The sequence below is a fragment of the Homo sapiens genome, chromosome 9 (assembly GCF_000001405.40).
Source record: "Homo sapiens chromosome 9, GRCh38.p14 Primary Assembly".
NCBI classification, from domain to species: Eukaryota; Metazoa; Chordata; class Mammalia; order Primates; family Hominidae; genus Homo; species Homo sapiens.
The window spans coordinates 84,865,894-84,890,531 of record NC_000009.12 but is presented as its reverse complement, the minus strand read 5'-3'; the positions used below and the strand labels follow the sequence as shown (position 1 = coordinate 84,890,531).

Here is a 24,638-nt window from a genome sequence, read left to right as displayed (position 1 = left end):
TGAGAAAAGATCAAGAAAGTCCAATGTACATTTTCCCTACCTGGGACAAGCAACCTAAAGCCAAGGCTAAGAAATGGATCCTTACCCCAGCAGTTCATCAAATGGCCCCTTCATAAAAAAGATTCTGAGTACCCCCTACAGGTTAAATCTCTAAATGTAATAGAATCAATTAGCCCCAGTCTGGCTCTGAGCCTGTCACATGAGGACGGTAAGGGTCACGGCCATTAGCACTGATCAGTCACACCCATGGACCTGCTGTCACCCATCACCACCATGTTTTATTGAAGACCTTAACAAGAGGTCCTGAGTTATTAGTGACCTAGTGTGACCTAAGGTGAGGGAGGGGGAAGTAAAGGGGAGGAGAGCAGGACTGATGGCTACTGACTACAACATGCCAAGCCTCATGCTAGATGTATGTGTATTGGAAATCCCTGAAGATGCAAAAGAACTAAAGAAGTTGGGCATACTTATCCTCATTTTACTCATGTAAGCAAAGTGCTAAGTGCAGCAGCTGGCTCTTAATAAGGCCCCCAAACAGCAGACATTTATATCTTTATAATGCTGCTACTACCATTTTTCAGAATGGAAGCTGAGGCTGATTGAGGTTATGTGACTTGCCCAGGGACACATAAGAGTACAAGCTGTGAGGCTAGGATTAAAACTCAAGTATGAGGCAACTGTCTCGATACTGGTAATAATGATGGTGGTGTCAGGACAATTTTTTCTGAAAACTAAATCCTAGTGAAGACTGAATAAGTTATACTTTTAGAATATGCCACCAATGATATGTGATGTCCACATTTAAAATACAAAAATATTGGCCGGGCACAGTGGCTTATGCCAGTAATCCTAGCACTTTGGGAGGCTAAGTTTGGCTGACCATTTGAGGCCAGGAGTTTTAGACCAGCCTGGCCAACAGGGTGAAACCTCGTCTCTACTAAAAATGCAAAAATGAGCTGGGTGTGGTGGTGCACACCTGGAATCCCATCTACTCAGGAGGCTGAGGCATGAGAATCACTTGAACCCAGGATGTGGAGGTTGCAGAGAGCTGAGATTGCACCATTGCATTCCAGCTTGGGCAACAGAGTGAGACTCTGTATCAAAAATAAATGAATAAATAAAAAATAAAATACAAAAGTATTTTTGAGTCTTACTTAAAAGTATCAAAGGTATTTTAGAATTACAGAAAGATTTTTTAAAAGCGTTTTTAAAGAGCCACTTTTTAAAAAATTGCTGTCATTGGGCCGGGCGCGGTGGCTCACGCCTGTAATCCCAGCACTTTGGGAGGCCGAGGCGGGCGGATCACGAGGTCAGGAGATCGAGACCATCCTGGCTAACACGGTGAAACCCCGTCTCTACTAAAAATACAAAAAATTAGCCGGGCGTGGTAGCGGGCGCCTGTAGTCCCAGCTACTCGGGAGGCTGAGGCAGGAGAATGGCGTGAACCCGGGAGGCGGAGCTTGCAGTGAGCCGAGATCGCGCCACTGCACTCCAGCCTGGGTGACAGAGCGAGACTCCGTCTCAAAAAAAAAAAAAAAAAAAAAAAAAATTTCTGTCATTAATAAATAATGGGGAAAGTTCGCCAATGAGGCAATTAGCCAAAAATGAAGGCTGGGCTTCCCAGAGACTTAAACTAAAGCAGGTTGTGTGACTTGTGATTTGTCCTGATCATGGACTCAACGCTTTTGCTATTATGGGTTGAAGCAGGTCTCTGGGGTCAGGTGAACTTTATAATATGTTGAGTACTCTAAGCACTGGGTCCAACCTCTTAGGGATTTTTATAGGATTGGTGCCCAGTGCCTGGTTACAAAAAGGTAAAGACAGAAGTCCCTGGGGTGGCTTTGAGGGCAGGGAACCTGGGTTTGAGTCTCTTCTCTGCCACTTTTTTTTTTTTTTTTTTTTTTTTTTTTTTTTTTTTTTGAGATGGAGTGTTGCTCTGTCGCCAGGCTGGAGTGCAGTGGCGCTATCTCGGCTCACTGCAACCTCTGCCTCCCGGGTTCAAGCGATTCTCCTGCCTCAGCCTCCAGAGTAGCTGGGACTACAGGTGCCTGCCACCATGCCCAGCTAATTTTTTTGTGTATTTTTAGTAGAAACGGGGTTTCACCATGTTGGCCAGGATGGTCTCGGTCTCTTGACCTTGTGATCCACCCGCCATGTCCTCCCGAAGTGTTCTCTGCCACTTTCTGCCTGAGCTATGAGTCTGTTATTTAAACTCTTCAAGCATCCCTTTCCTCATCTATAAGAAATTGCCTGAAGGTGGAGTTTAGCTGAGATAACGTATGTGGAAACACTTAGCAGATGGCAAGTCTCAAAAAAAGTTTTCTTTCTCCTTCCCTTTCCAGAACTGGTTAAGTTCTCTCAATGCTCATCTCTAACATCTGAACCCAAGAACCACATTTTTATTCTGCTTTCTTTGTCCTGGCTGGCTTTTTCTTGCATTATTAACTATGTGGAAAAAAAATACGAGGCTGGATTTGTTTTGTTTTCTGTTCCACTCTGTAGTTTATCCAGACGTTGTGTACCTTTAAAAAAAATGGGTTTTGTCATCCCTTGTAACATTTATCTGAATTTTAATCAAATAGGACAGAAAGTAAGATCATGTGTCACTTTTGTCCCCACAACATCAAGAAAATAATCTGCAACCTCAATTAACGTTAACAAATAATCTTTCCTTTAAGGAAAAAAAATGTGGATCCAGCCCTTTTGTAGTTTCCCAGTTTAAGAGATTTTTTCACAGGGGTCCAAGCCAGAAAGCTGAAATCTATGTAACAAAGTCAAGCTGAGAATGGATGCCGCTGGTCCTGCTGGAGATGTCTATCTGCTGTCCCTGGAGGCAGAGATGGTCAAAAAAGGAAACAGCATCTTGGGCCACCCTCTGGACTTGAGCTGATCATTGGGGTATTTGGTCTTGCTGCATGAAGAATCCTTACTACAGCTTAGCATAGTCAAGCAATGATATAAAATCATTTTCTTCTAGAAACTCACATCGTTTTTCTCCGAGGCCTTTAAAGGCATCATAAGTGATGTTAGAGTATATTTTAAAAATTTCTTTGAGAGCAGGAAATCTTCCCCTCCAGGGGGTACTTAATTTCTTGCTAGTCACTAGGAGGTGAGCAGGTCTTAAGGTCTTAGGCTAGGTCCATGCCACAGGGAAGGACAAAAGCTGATGGAAGATAACCGTAAGTTAACCCCCAAAAGATTCCTTGGCCCTGAAAACTGACCTAGAGAAAGTGTCTGGCTTGAGGGGATGAGAAGAAAAGGAGCAACACATTCATACTTGGTTATAAAACACCAGTTTGGGCCTTTGCGAGAACCCCTTACATTTCCTGAAATATTATAAATTATCCTGAAATAAAATGCACGAAGAACTGCCACAAATCATTGATTTCTTTTTTTTCGGATGAACCACATACTTTCCGCCCAAGCAAAACTTATTCTTGGGAACGGAGTCCAAGCCCACGCTGAATCTTATCTTTTGTTCAAACCCCACACTTGTTTTACCCTCAGCGCGTTTAGACAGAAACTGATAGCTAATGCTTTTCATTAAGCCAGTCAAGAAAAACTGCTTACCAGGTTTTACTCCTTCATCAGCCTGACTAATTACACCCATTCACTGCTCCTTTCATACAGAGATTTCAAATTCCAATTCTCAAAGACACACACCACCCAAGAGACATCTGCTTCCTGGCTTGCTCTGTCTCCTTTTACATTACCCAGTGAAAAGTATTTGGTGGCCCAGAAAACACAAGCTAAGCAAAATCTAGAAGCAAGAACTGGTTTTAAGCTGATGAGGGGTCAGCTCAAGGAGAAAGTGTTGACATAAAGGTAACAGGAGATGGTGGGATAAAAAACAGAAAAGAATCTTCTCATGCAATATATTCAAGGAACGGCATTAGGTGAACAGACTCCAGTGGCAGGCCTCAGATACCACTTTGCAGCAACAGAACAGAAAAAGAGAATGTGCCTGTGTCGCTAAGACAAAGACTCATCTGAAACAGTTGGAGGCCCCAGGTTAGATCAGGGGCTTCAGAGAATGGCAGTGGCCCTGAGCTTCGGTGATAATTAAGGCTAGACTTGAACACCCAAGCCTAGGCAGTGCCTGGGTGGCAATTACATTTCTCCAAACCATCAAATGTTGGGCATTAAGGAGGCGAGGTGACCAACAGCTCCAAAAGCTTTCGAAGCTTCTTCCAATGGGATCATGGTCCAAACTAAACTGTTGTCTTCCAGGAAAAAATACAGGAAGACAACATCAACCTCATGAAGAGTTATAACCATTACTTCCTCTTTGGGTGAATTTCTTTGTGTGGCACTGCTTTACCTGAGTCCACAACAAATTCTTCATAGTGGTCTCATTGGTCACATATATTTATACTGGTCACACATTTCATATACCTATGAAAGTATATAGTCTTGACCTAGAGAGTTAGAAATCCCATTTCCCATCTACAGGTGTTCTGTATTCTCTAAAGTTCTCTTTCAGCTAATTCTTTTTTTTTTTCAGACGAAGTCTTGCTCTGTCACCCAGGCTGGAGTGCAGTGGCGCAATCTCAGCTCACTGCAACCTCTGCCTCCCAGGTTCAAGCGATTCTCCTGCCTCAGCCTCCTGAGTAGCTGGGATTACAGGCGCCGCCACCACACCAGGCTAATTTTTGTATTTTTAGTAGAGAGGGGGTTTCACCATGTTGGTCAGGCTGGTCTTGAACTCCTGACCTCGACCTCATAATCCGCCTGCCTCGGCCTCCCAAAGTGCTGAGATTACAGGCGTGAGCCACCAGGCCCAACCAGCTAATTCTTTTGTTGGTGAAAACATGATAGTAACAAAGCACAGAATTCTTCAAGATGTCAGTAGGAAAACCATTTTGAATACTGGGTTCCAATAAGTCTCATAGGAAATAACCCTTCCTTACCTTCTTTTCTTTCAAAGTTGCCCAAACTAACTCTGTTTATTGTTTCAGTCTAAGGGTTTTCCATGTGTTCGACATGATGCTTCTCAGGATTATTAAAAGAAAAAAAAAAGATAACTTCTATTCTGCTACACATTCATTTTATGTGCTCAGTTTATTACCATACAAAGAACACCGGATGCAGTTCCCATTTAAATGGTGTCTTTAATATAAAGACCCGCTGAAATTGTGTTTGTATGATAGCCATTCTTCAAAAAAACACGTAATAGCTGGAGACTATGTTTCAGGGTCTCGATCTCGTGATTTAGCACTTGATTCTTTTAGTGGTTGGTCATTTGAATCTCATTTTCAAGGGATCATCTGAAAACAGGCCTCTGGTCTTTCAGGTTTCTGATTAGTGAAGCCATGCTAAATAACTTCTGATTTACTTAAATCACAGATTGCAGAACTGAGTAGCCTGGAGGGACCTCAGTGATCATCTCTATCCTAGAAAGTTATAAAGTATTAATTAGACCTGGAGACATATTTCAGACTGGCCAATGCCCTACTTCTTTCTACAGCCCTAGGCTAACTAGGGAGCAAAGAGACTGAGTTTTCCATCCGTTTCCTTGCCTCCTGACTATATCCAGTACATATTTTACATGTTCTACTCTTAGTTTAGTGGCTTTTCTTTTATGTTTAATATTGTGAAAAGACACATTGATTCTCAGAAATGCAAATAATAGTGTGGTTGCAAAAAACCCTGGTTGCACTGATACATATTAAATAAAGAAAATATTTAAAATCACTCTTACAGGCACTACACACAGTATAATTAGTGTTCAGCATCTGTGATAAATAGTGCCTGACAAATTGTTCAAGCATCATAAGCACTATGAGAAGACAACAGTTTTATTAAACACAGAAAATTGTATTTTTCCCAGTGGTTGTATTGCAAGATAATGAACTCTACAAGCGGCGGCAGAGATGCAAATTCAATTTTGCACAAGACTCACAAACGTCGTGATATATTATGCCAGTGGAGACACAGCCTTCGTCTAGACAAAATGCAAAAATGTCCTCATGTTCAGTAAATGTGTATAATTAGGAAAATATGAAGAACAGCTAATCGTCGATGTTGCATGCATGTCTGTATCTCCCATCTTCTTTTTTTAAAAAAGTCTAGTTGAAAGTTGAAGGTCACTCTTCTAGGTTGCAAATTTCAGTTTTTCAACTTTCAAAAAAATTGATATTTGTAAAATTAGAAGGTGCCCTAATCAGGCCTCCAAATTTTCTAACTCTTCCTTACATTTTTGTTTTCAACTGAGTTATATGCAAGAGTTTTTATTTATAAGAGCAGGTTATATTATACAAATAAAGCAGACAATGTCTGAGGACCAAAATTGAAGCAGCTCTGATAGTTTTATTAATTTATTTGATTTACTTCTGGTTTCTCTTACCCAATCTTATTTATGTCAAAGTAAGTTGAAGCAGAATTCATTATGTAGTGAAATGCAATTTGAATACTTTTCATTGAAACACGGTGATTCAATCATTTCTCTCCATCTGTCCCATTCTCTTCTTACATTATTTTGTACAGATCAAATCACATAAAATGAAATTCCAAAAGAAACTTTAGAATTTGCAAGGAGGAATAAAATGATCTCCCAATAATTCCTTATACTAAGTACTAAATTATACAACTAACATTCTGATAATTTGACATTATTATAGCATATTTTCTCTTGAGAAAAGTCAACTAGGTTAGTGAACTTGAATTTTGAGAAAACTTTTGATGCAACTCCAGTTTCTAATTATTTTGATACCGAATTATTAGAAGGATTGAGCCTAATCTCACCCACTTTGGGCATTTCTGCATTTTGCTGATTATATAGATTAAAAAAATTGCCAATCCTTTTCAAATAGTTAAGCTTAGGAGTTTTGGCATTTTAGCAACTTTATGAAGTGTTTGTGAAAATATCAATCAGTAGATTCTTCTCATCCGCTATTTGGTGACCCATGTCAGGTGTATTGTTGGTGCACAGAGAATCCTAAACTCATGAATGGATCAAGTTCCATGTTGATTATGCAAAAACAAGAACCATGGCCTCATGGAGACATTGCGCTTGTCATTAGAATGACAAGACTATCCCTTAAATGCCTTTTCAACTCCTGTGCTACTATACCCTCAAAACCACAATCCCTGTGCCCTAAACCCGCATGAGTGAAACAGTTCCATGTTTTAAAACCTAAAAGAATTGTACTGCAACCAGGAAGGGTAACCATGTATCAGCAAAGCTGGGAAGGCTAGGAAAAAAACTTACCAGCAACCAAGGTACAAGCCTGTCCTCAGGGAGCTTGCCACCTCACGTCACCTTACCCAGCTTCATGGTCCTTCTGGATGAGAACCTTCCACAATGGGTCTAACCTGGAACAGTGATCCCCAAACTCTTACATTTATCCTAATCGTCTGGGGACTTTTTAACAATGCAGATTATTTGGCCTCACCTCTAGCCACTCAGATTTGATAGATACCAGTTTGGATGCAGGGATTTGATTCTTAGAAAGTGTTTCTAGCAGGCCAGGTGTGGTGGCTCATGCCTGTAATCCCAGCACTTTGAGAGGCTGAGGCGGGCAGATCACCTGAGGTTAGGAGTTCAAGACCAGCCTGGACAACATGGTGAAACCCCATCTCTACTAAAAACACACAAAAAATTAGCCGGGTGTGGTAGTGCCTGTCTGTAGTCTCAGCTACTCAGGAGGCTAAGGCAGGAAAATCGCTTGAACCCAGGAGGCGGAGGTTTCAGTGAGCCGAGATCGCGAACTCCAGCCTGGGCGACAAGAGCGAAAACTCCGACTCGGAAAAATAAATAAATAAAAGAAAGTATTTCTAGTTATTATAATGCACACATGCGCGCGCGCGCGCACACACACACACACACACACACTAGAACAAAAGAGATGACACAGTGAAAAACACAGGTCCAAGAGCTTTTGCTTGCTGACAACTGCCAACAGCCAAGTGGCTTGCTACCGGACATGGGGTTAAGGATAAATAGATACAGATCTCCTCCAACAGTGGTGTCCTCCAGCTTTCTTGCATATTTGAGAAAAACTAAGCTGAGCAAAGCCACAAATAAAAGACCGCCTGGTAACTTGCTACCATCACCTTCCAAATCACCTTGGCCCTTGGCAGTGGCCAAGGGGTGGCTCTCCATCAAAGATGAAGGACTTGAGACTCTGGCCTGGCCTTTACCATTTGGAATCATACTCTCCCTTGTTGTCAATTTTGAATCTAAACAGTGTTTTATAGTATGGAAAGAAATTTCAGGATTTAAATGACAGGGAAAATGAGAAAGTTGCAGATACCCATCTCATCAGTTAAACTGGCTGCATTTCCAACGTAAACTGCCTCAAATCCATTGTGGGTCAGTGTGTGTGTGTGTGTGTTGGTGGGAGCATGAAAGAAGCCTGGCTTGATGGCTAGACAGAGAGACGGGCACGAATTCAGTGTGTGCATTAAAAGCCGATGCTAGGGTTTGGGTATCTAGGTTCAACTCCTAGCTCTCCTGCCTAGTAGTTGTATGTTCTTGGGCAAGTTGCCTAACTTCTCAGTGCCTTACTGTTTTCCTTCTGTGTGATTAAAGTAACAAGAATACCCACCATATGACTATTGTGTAAATTCAATGAGAGAAATATGTATATTTCCATTAAAACTTCAGCATTAGGCCTTGTGAGAAATTATTCTCTCATAATACAAAACATAAAGCTTTAGCATACCTGAAACCCAAGTTACAAAACCAGACAGGAGAATTCTCAAAACACAAATTACTTAGGAGGTGGGACAGAAAGAGCAAGAGAAAAAGCTTCAAACCCAACACTGAACAGACATGGCAATGGGCATAGCTAATATGCAATTCAAAAGGAAAGATAACCAACCTTTTGCTCCTACCAGAATCATAGGCAAATACTAGAGATGCCTGAAGCTCAATGAAGTAGAGATGTATTTTCTTCCCAAAGCTACAGTAAGATGACAGGCAAAGTAGATAAGATCATCCATTCTTTTGTTCATTCAGTTTACTACCTATTTATTATAAACCTACAATGTCTTGGGCACTGTTCTAGGAGCCGGAGATGCCAAAGCACTTGTTTGTTCGTTGAACAGACTATGATTCAGAACTTACAAAATTGCCAATAAGTATTTATTTCCATCTGCAATTTTTTATATCAGTCATTGACTACTGCCACTGAATTCCTGGTGAGACGTGACTTCCTGATTACACGTTCATCATCCAACAGAGACATACGACATATACCCTAAGCCTAATCTGAACTTTCATTCCTACCCTTGTTGTCCCCTCCCCATCCTGGAGTTTTATTGTTAAAGGTCCCAGACAGTCTTATTAGTCAGAGATTTGTTTTATCTCCTCTCATTGGGAAAATTTTCCATACTGGCAAATATTTCGAGATTCATGCAGAAACATACATAACCCCCACCCCAGGGAAAGCAAAGGACTCATCAAATTCTCTGTTTGGAAATATTTCAGCCCCTTTTCTCTGAAGTCACATTCTAATTAGTTTCTCCAAACCACTCTCTGGCTGCATCTCCACCCCAAAGGGCTGGCCATGCTCTGCAGCTTTGTAGCTGATAATGCATAGAGGTTCAGCGGGCTTGGAACACTCTAGTAAACAATATTTTGAATGTATTTTATTACTTGTCACAATGGACTTTGAACTACATTTGAATAATTCATACTCCAAACTATGGTTTTTTCAAAGTTATCAAGATAATTAAGAGAATAAACATTGAGTCAGAAAATAATTATTCATTTTGGCTAACCTTGCCGTTCTAACTCATCTGCACTTACCAAGCCCAGTAAAGAAGTGCTGTATGATGTTTTTAAAGAACATGTGTTACTCTCTCCATTAAAAGACTTATATGAGATATTGGTCAACATGTGTGTCTGTCACAAAGTGCTCAAGAATATCAGCTCCTTGATATCTCCTGACTTTATGAAGCACGTAGATGCAGGCTTGGAAGAATGCCACGTATGAATGCCAACTCTTGTTTTTAAAACGGCTCTCTAAAGCATAAAGATCTATAGAAATTTTGACTCCATTCAATTAGCCAGTTTGGAAACATGGACCTTTGAATGGAAAATGAAGGAACGAGTTGTAGAAGGTGAGCCAGAGGAGTACTTGTCTGTCCTCTGCGATGCTCATAAGATTCGCATCAAGGCTGGTTCCCCATAGGATGCTGAAAAGAAGGCTTTACTAGACACTGTGTTCCCTTGGCCTCCTTGTACAGGGTGACCCTGCCCAGGAGCTGTGGGTTCTCACTCCTCCCAGCATTGCCTACAGAAACTCAGCAAATATATGCACCTCAACATGCTCCCAAACACAGTTGGCACACTTTGAATTCTTTTCTTGGATATCAAGTTCACCTAGGAAATCAGATATGCTAATCTCCGAGGAGTGAACCCACTCAAGAAAGAGTCTGAGATCTATGGTATAGCTTGCTTTTTCTAGGATTTTCTGAACTAAAACTAAAAATGTAAACTTTTCAGAGAGGGCTTGGCAAAAGAAAAAGTGGAATTTTACATAATTTTAATTGGCAAAAAAATAAAAATAACGGCTTTATATTCATGATCATTTAATATTTCTTAAAGACACTACTGAGAGAGAAAACATCACAGGCCAGTGAGCCTATATCAATCATTGTACCATAGATGGCCTGGGCTCTGCCCACTGGCAGGTTCCTCCTTTATCAGTAAGTTCAGCACCCACCATGTGGACACTCCTCACCCTTCAGATCCAAAGGTTAATACACCCCAGCATACTTGATCACCCACATGAAAGGGGCAATGCCAACACTACAATTCCTCTTGCTGAGTTAGAAAATTGCTGGGTATTAATTTGGAAAGGATGAGCAGCACTGGGCTAGAAAGAGTCCTCACTTCCAGGACATCCACCTGGGCTTCAATAACAACCCCTTGTTCAGGATGGAATTTGCATTTTCCTTTTCCTCCTAACTTTTCTGAGCCTCACTTTTCCCATCTGTAAAACAGAGTAATATCTATACTGCAGCAATTATTAAGATTTTTTTAATGTGAAAATACAATCCATGGGGCCTGGCCCATAAAAAGCATTAGGTAGAAATTATATAAAAATAGAGAATGCAAATATTACAAAAAGAGCGCATGGCATTAAGAAACTGGCTGAGTGAAAATGGAATATTTTAAATCTCAAATACTGTATCTTCAGCTTAGCAAATGTATCATACACCTCCAAATGTGGGGGACAAAAGCAATATAGGTTTTTTAAAGAATTTCCCTTATTTTTTAAAAATTTTATCCATTTTTCCCCTAGATTATTTCTCAGACTTACTGAGAAAGTCCCCTGATCCTCCCTCCTGTCCTTTTCCAAAGAATCTATCTCTCTTTGTCTCTGTCTCTGCCTCACTCTCCGTCTCTCTCTCACTCTCTCTCTGTCTCTCTCTCTCTCTCTCTTTGGCAGCCTCATTCATTTCCTCACTCTGGAGAGTCACATACAACAAATAAAAATTTTAAAAATGTAGTGAGAAGATGAGCATGCACTTATCTGCTATTTCAGTAGATAGCACAGGATGGTTACTGCTGGAGATGCTGAGGCTGGCTGAACAAAAGGGAGACAGGGGACTGCATCTCCAAGGGAAGACGAGGCAGTGAGGAAGGACAATTAGGCCAGGAACTCAGGAAGTATCCGAAGACTGACAGACAATCCACTGAGAAGTTTATGTACACATAACAGCTTTGCAAAGGCCAGAGGTTTACACAAGATCCAGGCCAGAAGGAGCCCTGAGGCCAAGGTCAAGGCTAAAGGGAGTGAGATTCTTGCTTTGTGCACACAATTAAGGAAATGCTAAAAATCCAGTTATTGAGATAAATTATATTAAGTGTAATGCAATAGTTCTTGATAAAATTGAATGCAAATATTTGCGCTTAAAAAATATCAGAATTTTTTTTTTTTTTTTTTAGACATAGTCTCTTTCTGTCGCCAGGCTGGAGTGCAGTGGCATGATCTCGGCTCACTGCAACCCCCGCCTCCTGGGTTCAAGCGATTCTCCTGCCTCAGCCTCCCAAGTAGCTGGGACTACTGGCATGAGCCACCATGCCCAGCTAATTTTTGTATTTTTAGTAGAGATGGGGTTTCACCATGTTGGCCAGGAGGGTCTTGATCTCTTGACTTCGTGATCTGCCCACCTCAGCCTCCCAAAGTGCTGGGATTACAGACGCGAGCCACCATGCCCAGCCAAAAATATCAGAATTTTAAGGAAAGACAGGATCTGACCCTGAACTTGTAGGACTAAGCTCACTCACCTTACACTCATCCCAGCCCTCCTGGGATTATGCTGGCTTTATTTAAAATTTTGATATTTTCTTCATAGATCTTTTGCATTCTTTTTTATCTTTTAAAATGTTGCATGAGTATATTATTTATCTTGAGTACTGACACTTCTGGTGTCACTTTAAATTCTGTGCCTTAAGCAAGTGACATTCTTGCCTCACCCTAGTGCTGGCCTACCTGAGTGAAGGAGTTGCTTCGAGAAAACCCAGAGAGGCTATGTGGGGGCAACTGGGGAACCAATGCGGACAACTTCTAGAGCTCTGTTCGTGGTGCCTTGAGGAATCCCAATGTTGAATTATATTCTCAAGTCTATGTAAGAAAAAGTATTAGCAGGTGACGAAAGTAGGCAACAGAGACCACATATATGACAGTCTTGTCTTTATTGGTATATGCGTTTGGCTCTGAATGATCAACTACATCACAAATTCCAGTACAAAAGATCTCATTTTCGGACAGATCATATAGATAAAGAATTCCAAGCTCCATTGGTCACTCATACATACACGTGGGCAAGCCCTGGAGTTTCTGAACATAGGAAGAGAATGCAAGTCATGTGTTAGGTCCGCTCCCTTGCATGAAATGTGGGAGAGGGAAATAAAGTTAGGCAACATTTAGCAATCAACAGAACCCCTTCCCTATCCTACCGCAGCCCAACATGGTGCAGCAGCAGCAGGCTGAATGGTTGAGACCAGTGCAATGAGGTGGCAGGAAGTGCCCTGGTAGGAGGGGGGTCCTTGGCCACATGGGGAGCTTACAGAGAGAATCACAGTAATACACAGATGTAGTGCCCATTAGCCAGCAGGGTTTCCTTGAGGAACATCTATCCATACCCACCCACTCAAAGTCCCCTCTCTCCAAAAGTAAATAGATGGCATGGGGACCATATGAACTAATCCCCCAACCCAGCAACCCTTCACATAGCTCCGCCCTCACACCAAAGTTCTTCCTCATACTGAGACAAGTGGAGGCACAAAGGCCCTCAATGACATGAATCCTCAAAGAGAACTAAAGAGGACACTGAGATGTTAACGCCAAGAACTATGCCGATGAATCAGCCATTAGACTCAAATCTGGCTAAGATCCACTTTACTTAAAAACTCAGGATGTAATATGTAGGAAGTGGCAGAGCATATACACAATCCGAGAAGGAAAGTGTGATTGATTCAGGACATGAGTGATGATCTTATTCTGCCTGCTACTTGGCCACTGTCTCCCTCCCCAAAGCTCAGGAGTATGGAAATCAATGGCATAGCTATGTATCACCAATATCTTACTAAGAAAATGAGTGTTTTCCTCTTTAAAATCCAATGTCCATAAAAATCTAGGTAGAATTCAGTGAAATCAAAAATCTCACATGTAAAAAGAGGAATTTTGCCATCAACCCAGAACAAAGACTCCTAAAAGGGAAAAAGACAGACTAAATGTATACATTCTGACAGCACTTGGAAAAGAAAGGCTAGCCTTCTAAATAAGGCTCAAGCAGCTACATGTATTGATAATTGTTTCTGTAGATATCAGGAAATGGCACTAATGAAATTAGGAACTAGGAAGAAATGTGATCATTAGCATCATAGTTCCTGAACCCTAATACATATGGAAAAAAATGGGAGGATGGAAAAATCATGTGGGTAAAGATATTGATGTTTATGGAAGTAAAACCAAGATAGAGAAAATGTGAGACCAGTTAGTCCATCTGGCTCAAGTACTCTATTAATAGAAGGTAAGAACATGAGTTCTGATCCTGGGTAAAGCAGTTAGTGCCTCTCTATTCCTCAGTAGTAGACTGAAGACCAAATGACTTGCAAAAGTAAACTCTTTGGGTGTTGCAGGGAAGGGGAGTAAGTATTGAGCATGAAAACATAAATGGATCTGAAAAGTAATCATTCCTGTAGGAAAACAATTCAGGTGGCTGCTTAGTGGTGCCATCTCTGCTTATTTTATAAGCAGACATTTCATGTAATCTCTAGTAAAGGCATTCCCTAAAGTGGAGACTAGCTGTTTTGATATAACTGCACACTATAGGGCTTTATCCTGTCCTCTCTATATCAACCACTTTATTGGAAATTTAGGAATATGGCACTCAGTCCAAATGCCATTATTATCTAATGAGGAGCTTGGGTTCCACTTTAATGCACCCAAAAGTTCAATGGCATGGTTAAAAAATGTGTTAATTAATAGTAACAGCATAAGAAAGAATATTGATCTCTACCCATATACAGTAATGAATAAAAATAATATATAGAAACTAGGATTATATTATTGTTTTCTTTCTGGGATTCCCCCCTGCCTTTGGTTCTGAAATCACACATATCTAATCTCTTACATCACAGGAACTTATTCATTTGAACTCATTTTTATAATCTCTTAAACTTAATATTACTGTGCAAAATATCAACACTAACATATTATTGGATGTCATACTATTGATAGAGGCCTCCTTGCCAGAACCCCAGTCTAGGTCTAGAGGCCTGAGACATCAGGAGAGGAAGGAAGGCTTTCATGATGAAAGATCCGGGGATCACTGGACAGCAAACTCCATCAAGTTTAAGCAAAGCTGGGAGTGACCAAAAGGAGACTCCAGCTATCAGAGGTCCTTGCACAGCCAAGGTATCCTTGATGGAAGTGAAGGCATCCCTAAACATCAGGAAATGTATGAGATGTAACTAGTTTGGCCCTTTAAGATCCAGCATACTCGGCTCTTTGAAAGGAGCTAGCTAGGGTGAAGAACTTGGAGGCAAAAAGTGATCATCTGCTTCAGTTGAGCAATAAACTGCATTTGGAGTTATCTGGAGTGATGACCCTAAATGAGAGCTCTCAGCCTGCCTTGTCAGAACAAGAGAGCCTCTCATTTCCTGAGTCTTTCCAGCGCATAACACAGGCCTCATGTGCTCTGTGATACTTACCATATGAGAGTCTGACGTGGCCAGCTATGGCCAGACCCCCGCTCTTAACCCCTGCACATCTCCAAGGAAATACAAAATACAAAACTGGGAATAATACACCCAATGTGCTTCCTACACACTGTGCAGCACAATCTCCCCAAAGTGAGCCATTACTATAGAAATATTAACAGAGTCCAGTACAAACAAATGCAAGGACACATATGGTCAGACTTTATATTACAAGAGATTAAAAGGATATCCACAAGACTAGAAAGCCATATATCCAAACGATATCAGTGGTTAACTCTAACTGGTGGAATTACATGGGACTTTTCGTTTCATCTTTGTTTCTTATGTTTTCCAGGTTTTCTACTAAATCTACATTATTTATTCTTATTTTAAAATACCCATTTTAGGGCACTTGAAGGCATTTTGGGTGAGGAAGACAATCCTATCTTACTAGCAAAAATCATTGGGCCTATACCAACTGGGATTGACCAACTCATTCCAGTCTGTTTAGGACTGTCCTGGTTTTAAAAATGAAAGTTTCACATAACAGGAACTGCCTCAGCATTCTCTCACTGACAGGAAGCAAACCCAAACAAAGGGCAGAATGGATTCATCTCCTCCTCGGGCTGCTCTCTCAGTCTCAGAGGGCAGTGGCTCTTGCTTCCAGTTAGGGGCTGAGTCCAAGGAGAGAGATTCCTTTATGTGGCAACCAGGTTGAACTAAGAAGTAGCTCTCTCCCCATTTCCTTCCTGGCCGTGGGTTAGAGAAAGTGTTTCTTCTCTTGCCATTCAAGAGAAAGAAGAACAATCAAGAAAAACTAAACAAAAACAAACAAAAACCCACTACAACCTCAGCAATCAACCTCAGAGCAGCATCACAGCTCCCCAGGAAGGAGACCTGGCATGACAATTAATCTGAGAAGAAGCCCAGCTACGGTGGTTACTCTCACAGGCTGGCAGAATTAGTAAAGACAGAGAAAAGCTGCATTTCCCAGGGAGAAAACCTTCACTTTGTTATAATAGCTGCCGTAAAGGATTGAGCCTCACATCCAAGAAAAACTCCGGTGGTGCCATCTCTACTTAACCAGAGGGAGCACTCAATTGTTCAAAGCACCTGGGTAGCAGGAGCTTCTTAGCAACATAGGAGGCTACTCTGCAACTGTGTTTGCTCAGCTGGTCCTGGTCCACAATCTACTAGCACATGCAAGAGTGGCCAATCCGAAACCAAAATGGGGGCGTAGCTTGATTGGATTCATCCTGTTGGTACACACACTCCAGTCAGGCTGGGCCTTGGGAAATACCCAGAACAAATACATTAGGATCCTCCATCTGCTGGGATGCTTCTAGAACATCACTGATGCTTTGGTGAAATTGGACTGAAATGTCTGATATGTGCAGGATGCAGAACTCCATCTTGGTTGGCCGATGATGAGGGAGTAAACACAGTCTTCAGAATATCACTCTGTCTCCCTGACCTAAATCCATAATCTTTATTTTTGTTTTTCTTTTCAGACACCAAGCTTAGGACTGGAGTGTTTCCTCTAGGAGGTCTAAGTATACTATACTTGGGTGATATTTCTCTTTTGATAACAAAGAATAATATTACCCAATGGTCAGATGCTAAAAACATGATTTTACTTCACTGTGAGTGTGCTTGAAACTGGTTTGCTAACAAATCTTCATCTCAGTGCGGCTTATAATAACATGGCTTACATTTTAAATGTAATTATGCAGCATGTATTCATTTCCTTTCTTTTAAGAAACTCAAGTTGCTTTTTTAAAGCATTATTTGATAGCTTCTTATCATCTCCTTTGGAGTTGAAAAGGGAATATGATATCAAATTGTTGTAGCTAGCAATGGGGGGGCCGTGGCACTGAGAGGGGGAAGGAATTGTATTGGGACCTGCAGAACAGCAGCAATGTGCCATGAAGGCTCCCACGAGATGAGTCGTCAACCCAGTGTGCCATAAAAGAAGCAATTTTTAAGGATCCTAAAATAAGTGCATTCTCTGTCCTAATGCTCGTGCTGGGCAGAATGGACTTAGCTTATTTTTAAAGTGCAGGCCATGGCCTTCCAAGGCATACAAACAACTCCCAAAGCAGCCATTATTTGGCCAATTAAACAATTAGGAGAAAATATATTTTTGAAAGACAAAACATTAATAGGCAAAGTACAGAAGGAAGCGCTAAAGCAATTGTTTCTACCCGTTTTTCAGTCCTACCTCTGACCATCAAAATGGACCATGGTCATTCGATTGCACTGAAGTCTGCAGATAATCTCTGGTAACTCTGAGGGGCCCCGCACTCTTTGATCTAATGAGCTTCTGGGGTCCTGGATGTAATTCAGAATTTTTGCTCATGTGTACTCAAAGTAATGTTGCAAATATGTTCAAAACCTCTGCGGTTCTGTGAAAAATATCACCTCCAGCCTTTCCCCTTATTGGTAAGACAAGGACGAAGTGGGCTGTGGCTGTTGAGGGGAGCAGAATGGGTGCCTTGTGTGATAGCTTTAGCTAATGTTAAAATACTCCCTCCCTTTATAATGTCTTCTTTCCTCAGGCCTAGCTGGCCTATGAATCTGTGCTTATTTACATAATTGCCTAGTAAGCATGTAACCACTAGGAAAACACATATGCACACACAAACACACATATACACAAGGATACACACACATTAACTATAATAGCTGGAGAAGTATGGCACACTCTGGAGAAAATTTTTAAAAATCCATTTCATTGGAAATGGAATTAAGTTGAAAAAAAAAAAGTCAGAATACTTTACATGCCTCTGCCACAGGGAGTTACTAGCCCTAGGCACATGAAGAGGGCATGCTCTGCAAGTACAAACACATCCAGGTACATATTTAGAGACAATTTTAAGTTGATTTAGGCCTCAACCCTAGGACCCTAGCTAATTTACAAGGCTGCTCTAGGGAAGACAGAATTTTAGGGAGGACATCTATAGTGTTTGCTCCGACGGGAGAAGATAAAACACACTCCTGCCCTTCAAGAGAACCCAAGATTGATGATTTGGGGATTTTGCTGGTTAGTATGTTTTGTTTCTGTTTGTTTGTTTCAGCTCAGAAGGTGTGTTTCCATTGTTCCCTGTCAAAAAGTTTCTCAGCAGTCAAGGAAAGGAAAGCAACACAGCTGCCCTTGAGCTGAGTTTGTAAATTTTACTGGGAAACCACCCCGTGCTGTCAGGTGATGTGGTGTTCAGACACGTCTAAACGAGCTAGTTGAGTTAAAGACCAACTCCAGACTTGATGTTGCTGAGCTCCTCAGCTCCATCTTGCCATCCTGATTGATCGAGGAGATGGGTCTATAGTTAAAGTGGCATAGTACTTTGAGGGGTTAGTCATTAGAGCACACTGCTTTGTCTTGGAAAGGCAACTTCTTGCTTGGCTAGGTTATGGAAGCTAAGGAGTGACGTCAAGATGTTGTCTGGCCAGAATTTGCAGATAACCATAGAACTCTTCTCCTCCATCAGGCATGGATTTAGCCTCCTTTAGTTCCTGCAGTGACACAGGAGCCTCCAAATACCAAATTATTATCAGGCGGTCTTGGGGGAACCTCTGGGCCCTGCAATAAAGTAGACAGACTTGCTATTGGAAAGTGCTCGGGAGGAATTCAGCCCTGTTCAGATTGCTCTACAATCCTGCAAACCATCTCTGGACTTTGTAAATGAAACCCTCATATCACTCCAGATAGTGAAAACATACTTCAAGGGATATAATTGATCACCATCTTTCACTTAAATGATTTTATGCATCATTTTAAGAAGTCGAATTTGATCATGTTTGTTTATTGTTTTGTTTTTAAAGCCAAACTATGCAAGTATTGAGCTTGTGTCACTCTGGACAAACCACTTTTGAGCATCATTTATAAAATAAGGTGTTTTTATTCATTGATCCTTCAAGTCTAACTCAGAGTATCACACCCAGGTGGTAGACTGTGAGCCAAACCTGACTCACACTGATATATTTTTATTTATCTCACCCGGTGTCTTAAATCTTGGGGAATCCACATAAAATAATAAACACCTGTTTTCTCTGGAAAAATTATAGTATCTGTCAATACCAGGCCCATACTCCAGCATGGCCCTCACTAGCCCATATCATTTTTCCTTCAGCCTGTTTCTTGCATTGACGTGCCTGATCGTTGTTGGTAATTGGGGTTTTGGACCCGTGCTCTAACCTATCCTGTTGTAATGTCTATCACATTGCATTATGATTATATGATGATCTAACCATTGGCCTTGCCAGTGAGACTCCTTGAGAGCAGGGAACAAGCCATCATTTTCAAGAGATCTCTCGTTCCTAGTATTAAAAGAGTGTTATAAATAAATATGTAATGAATCGTCTTTATTATATAAGTCAGATTCTTAAAATTCAGTGAGATGAGTAAGATCATACATATAGATCTTACATATATTAGATTCTTACAATTCAGCGATCTTCGTAAGACCATATGTATATTCTAAAGTCAACATCTTTGAATAGCATGCAGTTTTAGGAAAGAGAAGTAAATAGGCCAGGTTTTGGCTCAAGTCTCTGTTGGATCCATAAGAATAGCGATATTGTACTGTCCATGTGATATTATGCTGTAAGCACATTGAAAGTGTTCTAAACTCTCTCTGAGATCTTCTCAAATGTTTTTATCATTGCAACTTCTTGAAAGAGCCCTTCTTTGGAGGTTCTTTAAAAGCTCATTTGTAAAAAATATTCAATGGGGCTCATGCCTGCATTCCCTCCCTTGGGAGGCCAAGGTGTGAAGGATCACTTGAGTCCAGGAGTTCAAGACCAGCCTGGGCAACATAATGAGAACCATATCTCTACAAAAAATGAAAACGAAAAATAAAAAAAAATTAGCCAGACATGACGGTGTGTACCTAGAGTCCTAGCTACTCAGGAGGCTATGTCAAGAGGATTACTTGAGCCCAGGAGGTCAAGGTTATAGTGAGCTATGATTGTGCCATTGCACTCCAGCCTGGGTGACAGAGTTTTATATATATATATATATATATATATATATATATACACACACACACCCCACATATATGTATATGTACATGTATATGTATATGTACACATACCTATATGTGTGCATATAGGTATGTGTACATATACTTATATATGTACACATACCTATATGTGTGCATATAGGTATATGTACATATACTTATATATGTGTGTATATATACAGTACATGTATGTGTGTGTATATATATGTGTGTGTGTGTGTATATATATATATATATATATATATATATAGTCAATGGGAATTATCTAATTGAAATCTAAGTTCTCAACATTTCATGGGCCTACACCAACAGATTCATCTACATGTCAGGTCTATACATTTTGAAATATTTTAATTTCTGCACGACTACAATTAGAATGTTCAAAGAAAAGATTTTTTTGTCCAAAGTCTATTTCTGCTAAAATTGTTATCTAAATCTGTTTAAATTGGCTAATATATTGTTAAAAACATGTCTAATAAATAAACAACTATGTAGGCAAGTTTGATAGGAATAAAACCAATGAAAATGATTATGAGTCATCTTTCTTGTTACATATCTGCTAGAAATTAATATTTCAGTAATATAAAGCTACATCTGGTCAACATGTGGCCGACATCAAAGGTACACCACGTCCTGTGCTATGAAGGAATGGTTCAACAGATAAAGATCCTGCTCTCCAAGAGCTTACAGTCTAACCTAAAAGAGACTGCAGAAACACATGAGAGTGCTCATACTCACTACTTAACAAAAGGCCACAGATACACCGAAGATAAAGGAAAAAAAATTATGAGATAAAAAATGACATTTACAAAAGGGTGAAGGGAAGGAAAGAAGTAAATCGCTTCTTCATTCTCATTTATTTGAAAAAGGATTCATGGAAGATTTGTTATTTTAAGTGTTCTTAAAATCATGAAAGAGTATAGTGACTTGTTGCCTGGAAAAATGAAAATCTCGTTTGATATATGGTGTGGAGTGACTGAGGACACTAAGCTGGGACATTGCGGTTGGGTGCAGGGCCTAGCAAGACTTTATACAGAAGGAGTGACCAAATGGAGGTTGGCCATTTGGGTAGAGGCCAGAAACTGACAGGAGGCACAGAATGACTGAGCCACACAATCAAGACTGCTCCAAAAGGAACCCAAACCTTTGCAAAAAATCTCCACAGACTCCAGATTAAGGAAATAACCTTTGAAATCTTTCTTTCTGAATTTCTAAGGGAAGAAAGCACTTCCAGACATGTAGCCCACTTTTGACTAGAGGATCTCATTTGTTATTTTGTTTGTTTGCTCTCTTGCTCGTTTGTTCGATTTCTCTTACTGGACTTGTTGGGCTGATCGGGTCTACTTAATTATGCAGCTTTATCTTTCCTCCCTCCACAAAGGAAAGCAACTTTTTGAGGGTATGTTGATTTTATCAGCCTCAATTATACTACAGCCTCAGGCTAATTGAAATGCATCATAGGCCTGGTTCGGGTGGTGACTGAGGTGTCAATGTCAAAGTACTCTATTCCTAGGGAGAACAATCAAAATGATGACAGATGCTCCCATCACAGTATCCTGCTTAGTCTTACTCCTTATTTGACAGTTCTGTGTACAGGGCATTCCAAGGATCTTTGGAGGAGGCTCACCCCATCAAAGAAGGCACATTTTAAGCAATGCCTCTACTCACCTTGTTCACACCACAATGACAGTATTAAGATTAATAATACCTTAATTTCAACTAATACCTTTTATTTCAAGGAGCTCAATATTCTTCACACATTATTCTATTTATCTTGTCATGTTACAGAGTCAACCAAAATCTCTGGTGGATTCCAGTCTCACACATTAAAAGCTCATAATACTGTTCTTCCTAACATTTAAACTCATATCCAACCTTAAACATGCCTTGGGATAAATTTGAGTGAATAGGATGAAGTTACAGATATTTCCTTATATATGCACAGATCTGATACTCATTGCTAAGGCCCTTCATCCCATGAAAGCTCTCAACAGAGAGGCAGCCCCCAAAGCCTAATCTTGCAGTAATCCTCTACCTTACCTCTATGACAAGGTAGGAGAATGGTATTTAAGACAGGATAGGAACATGCATGATACCCACTCCTTAGTGGCAGGGAATCTCTGGGATCTGACATCATAGCCCTCACGGCCCCTTATTCACATATGAAGGAAGGCCTGGAAGCAATGCCATAAGCCTGTTTGTCCACTGTGGGTTTATTTTTTGTTGTCTTTAAGGCTGTGCTACACATTTAATATTGGAGCAGTGGTGCAGAAGATAGCACAAAAGGCCCTTAGAAAAATCTCAAGCTTGCTAACAGAGATTAATGGGTTAATTTGTTTTTGAAAAATGAAAGTAAGTGTACTTAATATGCAAATCATCTGCTGCCATGTCTCTTTGCTATTGTGGCAACACAACAAGGCCTCATGCTGGGAACTCGGACTGAGCAAAGAATACAGGACTCCCCAAACTGATACCACCTGTGGGCAACACAGTGCCTTCCCAACTACCTAGAGTGCATATTTCAATTACTTTCTATAGGCTAAATTTAAATTACATTCATTGCTTGTCATCTATAACTGATATATGTGCATTCAAATGACACTTCTGGTTTCTGTCTCTCTTTTTCAAGATAAGCATGCCTTGATTCCAACTTCACATTGACAAATGGTTTTGGAAAATAGATCCCAAGAGAGTCAGTATCTGCCCACAGTTCCCTTCCCAGCAGGAGACACACCCGGAGAATTCCATAAGCAACAAACTAAAGGATCTATTCCTGGGCCAAAAGCTGCAAGAATCCTCAAACATTTCACTGCACCCTGTTCCCCGCCAGTCATCCCTATCAGGGGCTCTGATAAACACTCTGGTTGATACAGCTATGCAGCAAATGGGACAATAAGTACAAACAGCTGTACTTACATGTGTCTGGCTTGAGCTGACTGTTGGTGATGCCAAAGTACTGGGGATTTTCAATGACAGGGATCTTGGTCATTCCAATAATGACAGCATCTGGGCCACCTTCCGAAGAAGATGGAGTGTTACTCCCATTGGAGATGTGATGGAGTGGGCTGGCAGAGTCATCATCATTGCTGATAACGGAGGCTGGGCCTGGAGATGGAAAAATATATATATTCTCCTGTAATCAATGGCTTTATTGAGCTGTAATTCACATACATAAAATTTACCCATTTAAAGTATACAATTCAGTGGGTTTTAGTATATTCACAGAGTAGTACAATAATCACTATAATCTACTTGTAGGACATTTTCATCACCCAGTTAGCACTCACTCCCCATTCTCTCCACTTTCAGCCGTAGACATTCACAGATTTACACTCTATCTCTCTGGCATTTCATATGAATGGAACCATATAACACGTGGTCTTTTGTAACTGGCTTCCTTCACTTAACATCATGTTTTTAAGATTCATCCACATTGTAGTATGTATTAGTACTTCCTTTCTTTGTATTGCCTAATAATACTCCATTGTGTGGATATGTTGCATGTTATTTATCCATTCATCTGTTGGTGGACATTTGGGTTGTTCTGGCTTTTTGGCTATTATGAATAATGCTACTATGAACATTCATATACGAATTTTTATGTGGACACGTGTTTTAATTTCTCTTGGGTGGAATTACTGGGTCATATGGTAGCTCTATATTTAACATTTTGAGGAACTGCCAAACTGTTTTCCAAAGTGGCTGCACCATTTTATATTCCCACCAGCAGTGTATGAGAGCTCCAATTTCTTCACTTCCTTCTCCTGTAAGATAATACGTAGCTTTCCTCTCTGTTCTATGATTGTCTCTAGAACACTCTGTCATTGAAACTGTCAACATGAATCTGGGATCCCTATTTCACAGAGCATTGAAAGTTGTTCTGGGAATTTCAGGATCTGAGTTTCCTTTCTCTACCCTTTGGACAAGTCACTTACTTTCTTTGGACCTCTACATCGACTTATATGCAAAATAATATTTGCTTATTTTATGACACTAGAACGAGATTAGTAACAGGAAAATGTATTATAAATTTAAATATGCTTCATGAGTATGTATTAATACTAGGTATTACTAAATGAACTTTAACTGGTAGACCAGATATACATTTGACTGTCCTATGACTACATTCCTCTTTCTTCATATTCTGTGAGTATCTGCACCACTTTTGTCTACAAAATACTTTTATAACAATAATGGATCAATCCCATGGCAAAGTTACCTGCTTTGTTGTTAGCTGTAATACTATTTATAGTCATAACTTGGTGTCTTTATACTAAATTAATAATCATAGCATTTTTTGTACAAGACAAATTTTCTAGCCCAAAGTCTCAGAATGTATATGCTCACACATACAGTCTACTGTATCTTGTCTAAACAATTTACCCATTAGCCACTAAACTCATACTGTTTGCAACCAAAATTAGATGCACAAAGATAAAGGTCTACGTGAAAGC

General features: G+C 40.4%; 1 protein-coding gene across 21 annotated transcripts in view; it reads right to left on the bottom strand.

Moving 5' to 3' along the window:
- The window catches only part of NTRK2 (neurotrophic receptor tyrosine kinase 2), a 358,533-nt gene that overhangs the window by 136,523 nt on the left and 197,372 nt on the right, over positions 1 to 24,638 (bottom strand). For 16 of the 21 annotated variants that reach the window (XM_017014751.3, XM_017014753.3, XM_047423432.1 and 13 more), the window contains one exon: positions 23,101 to 23,289. In XM_017014751.3, the coding sequence (XP_016870240.1) occupies positions 23,101 to 23,289 (189 nt within the window). Of the gene's footprint in view, positions 1 to 12,633; positions 18,744 to 23,100; positions 23,290 to 24,638 lie in introns of those variants that run through there. The other 5 variants (XM_017014755.1, NM_001018066.3, NM_001369537.1 and 2 more) reach the window with 1 other exon arrangement.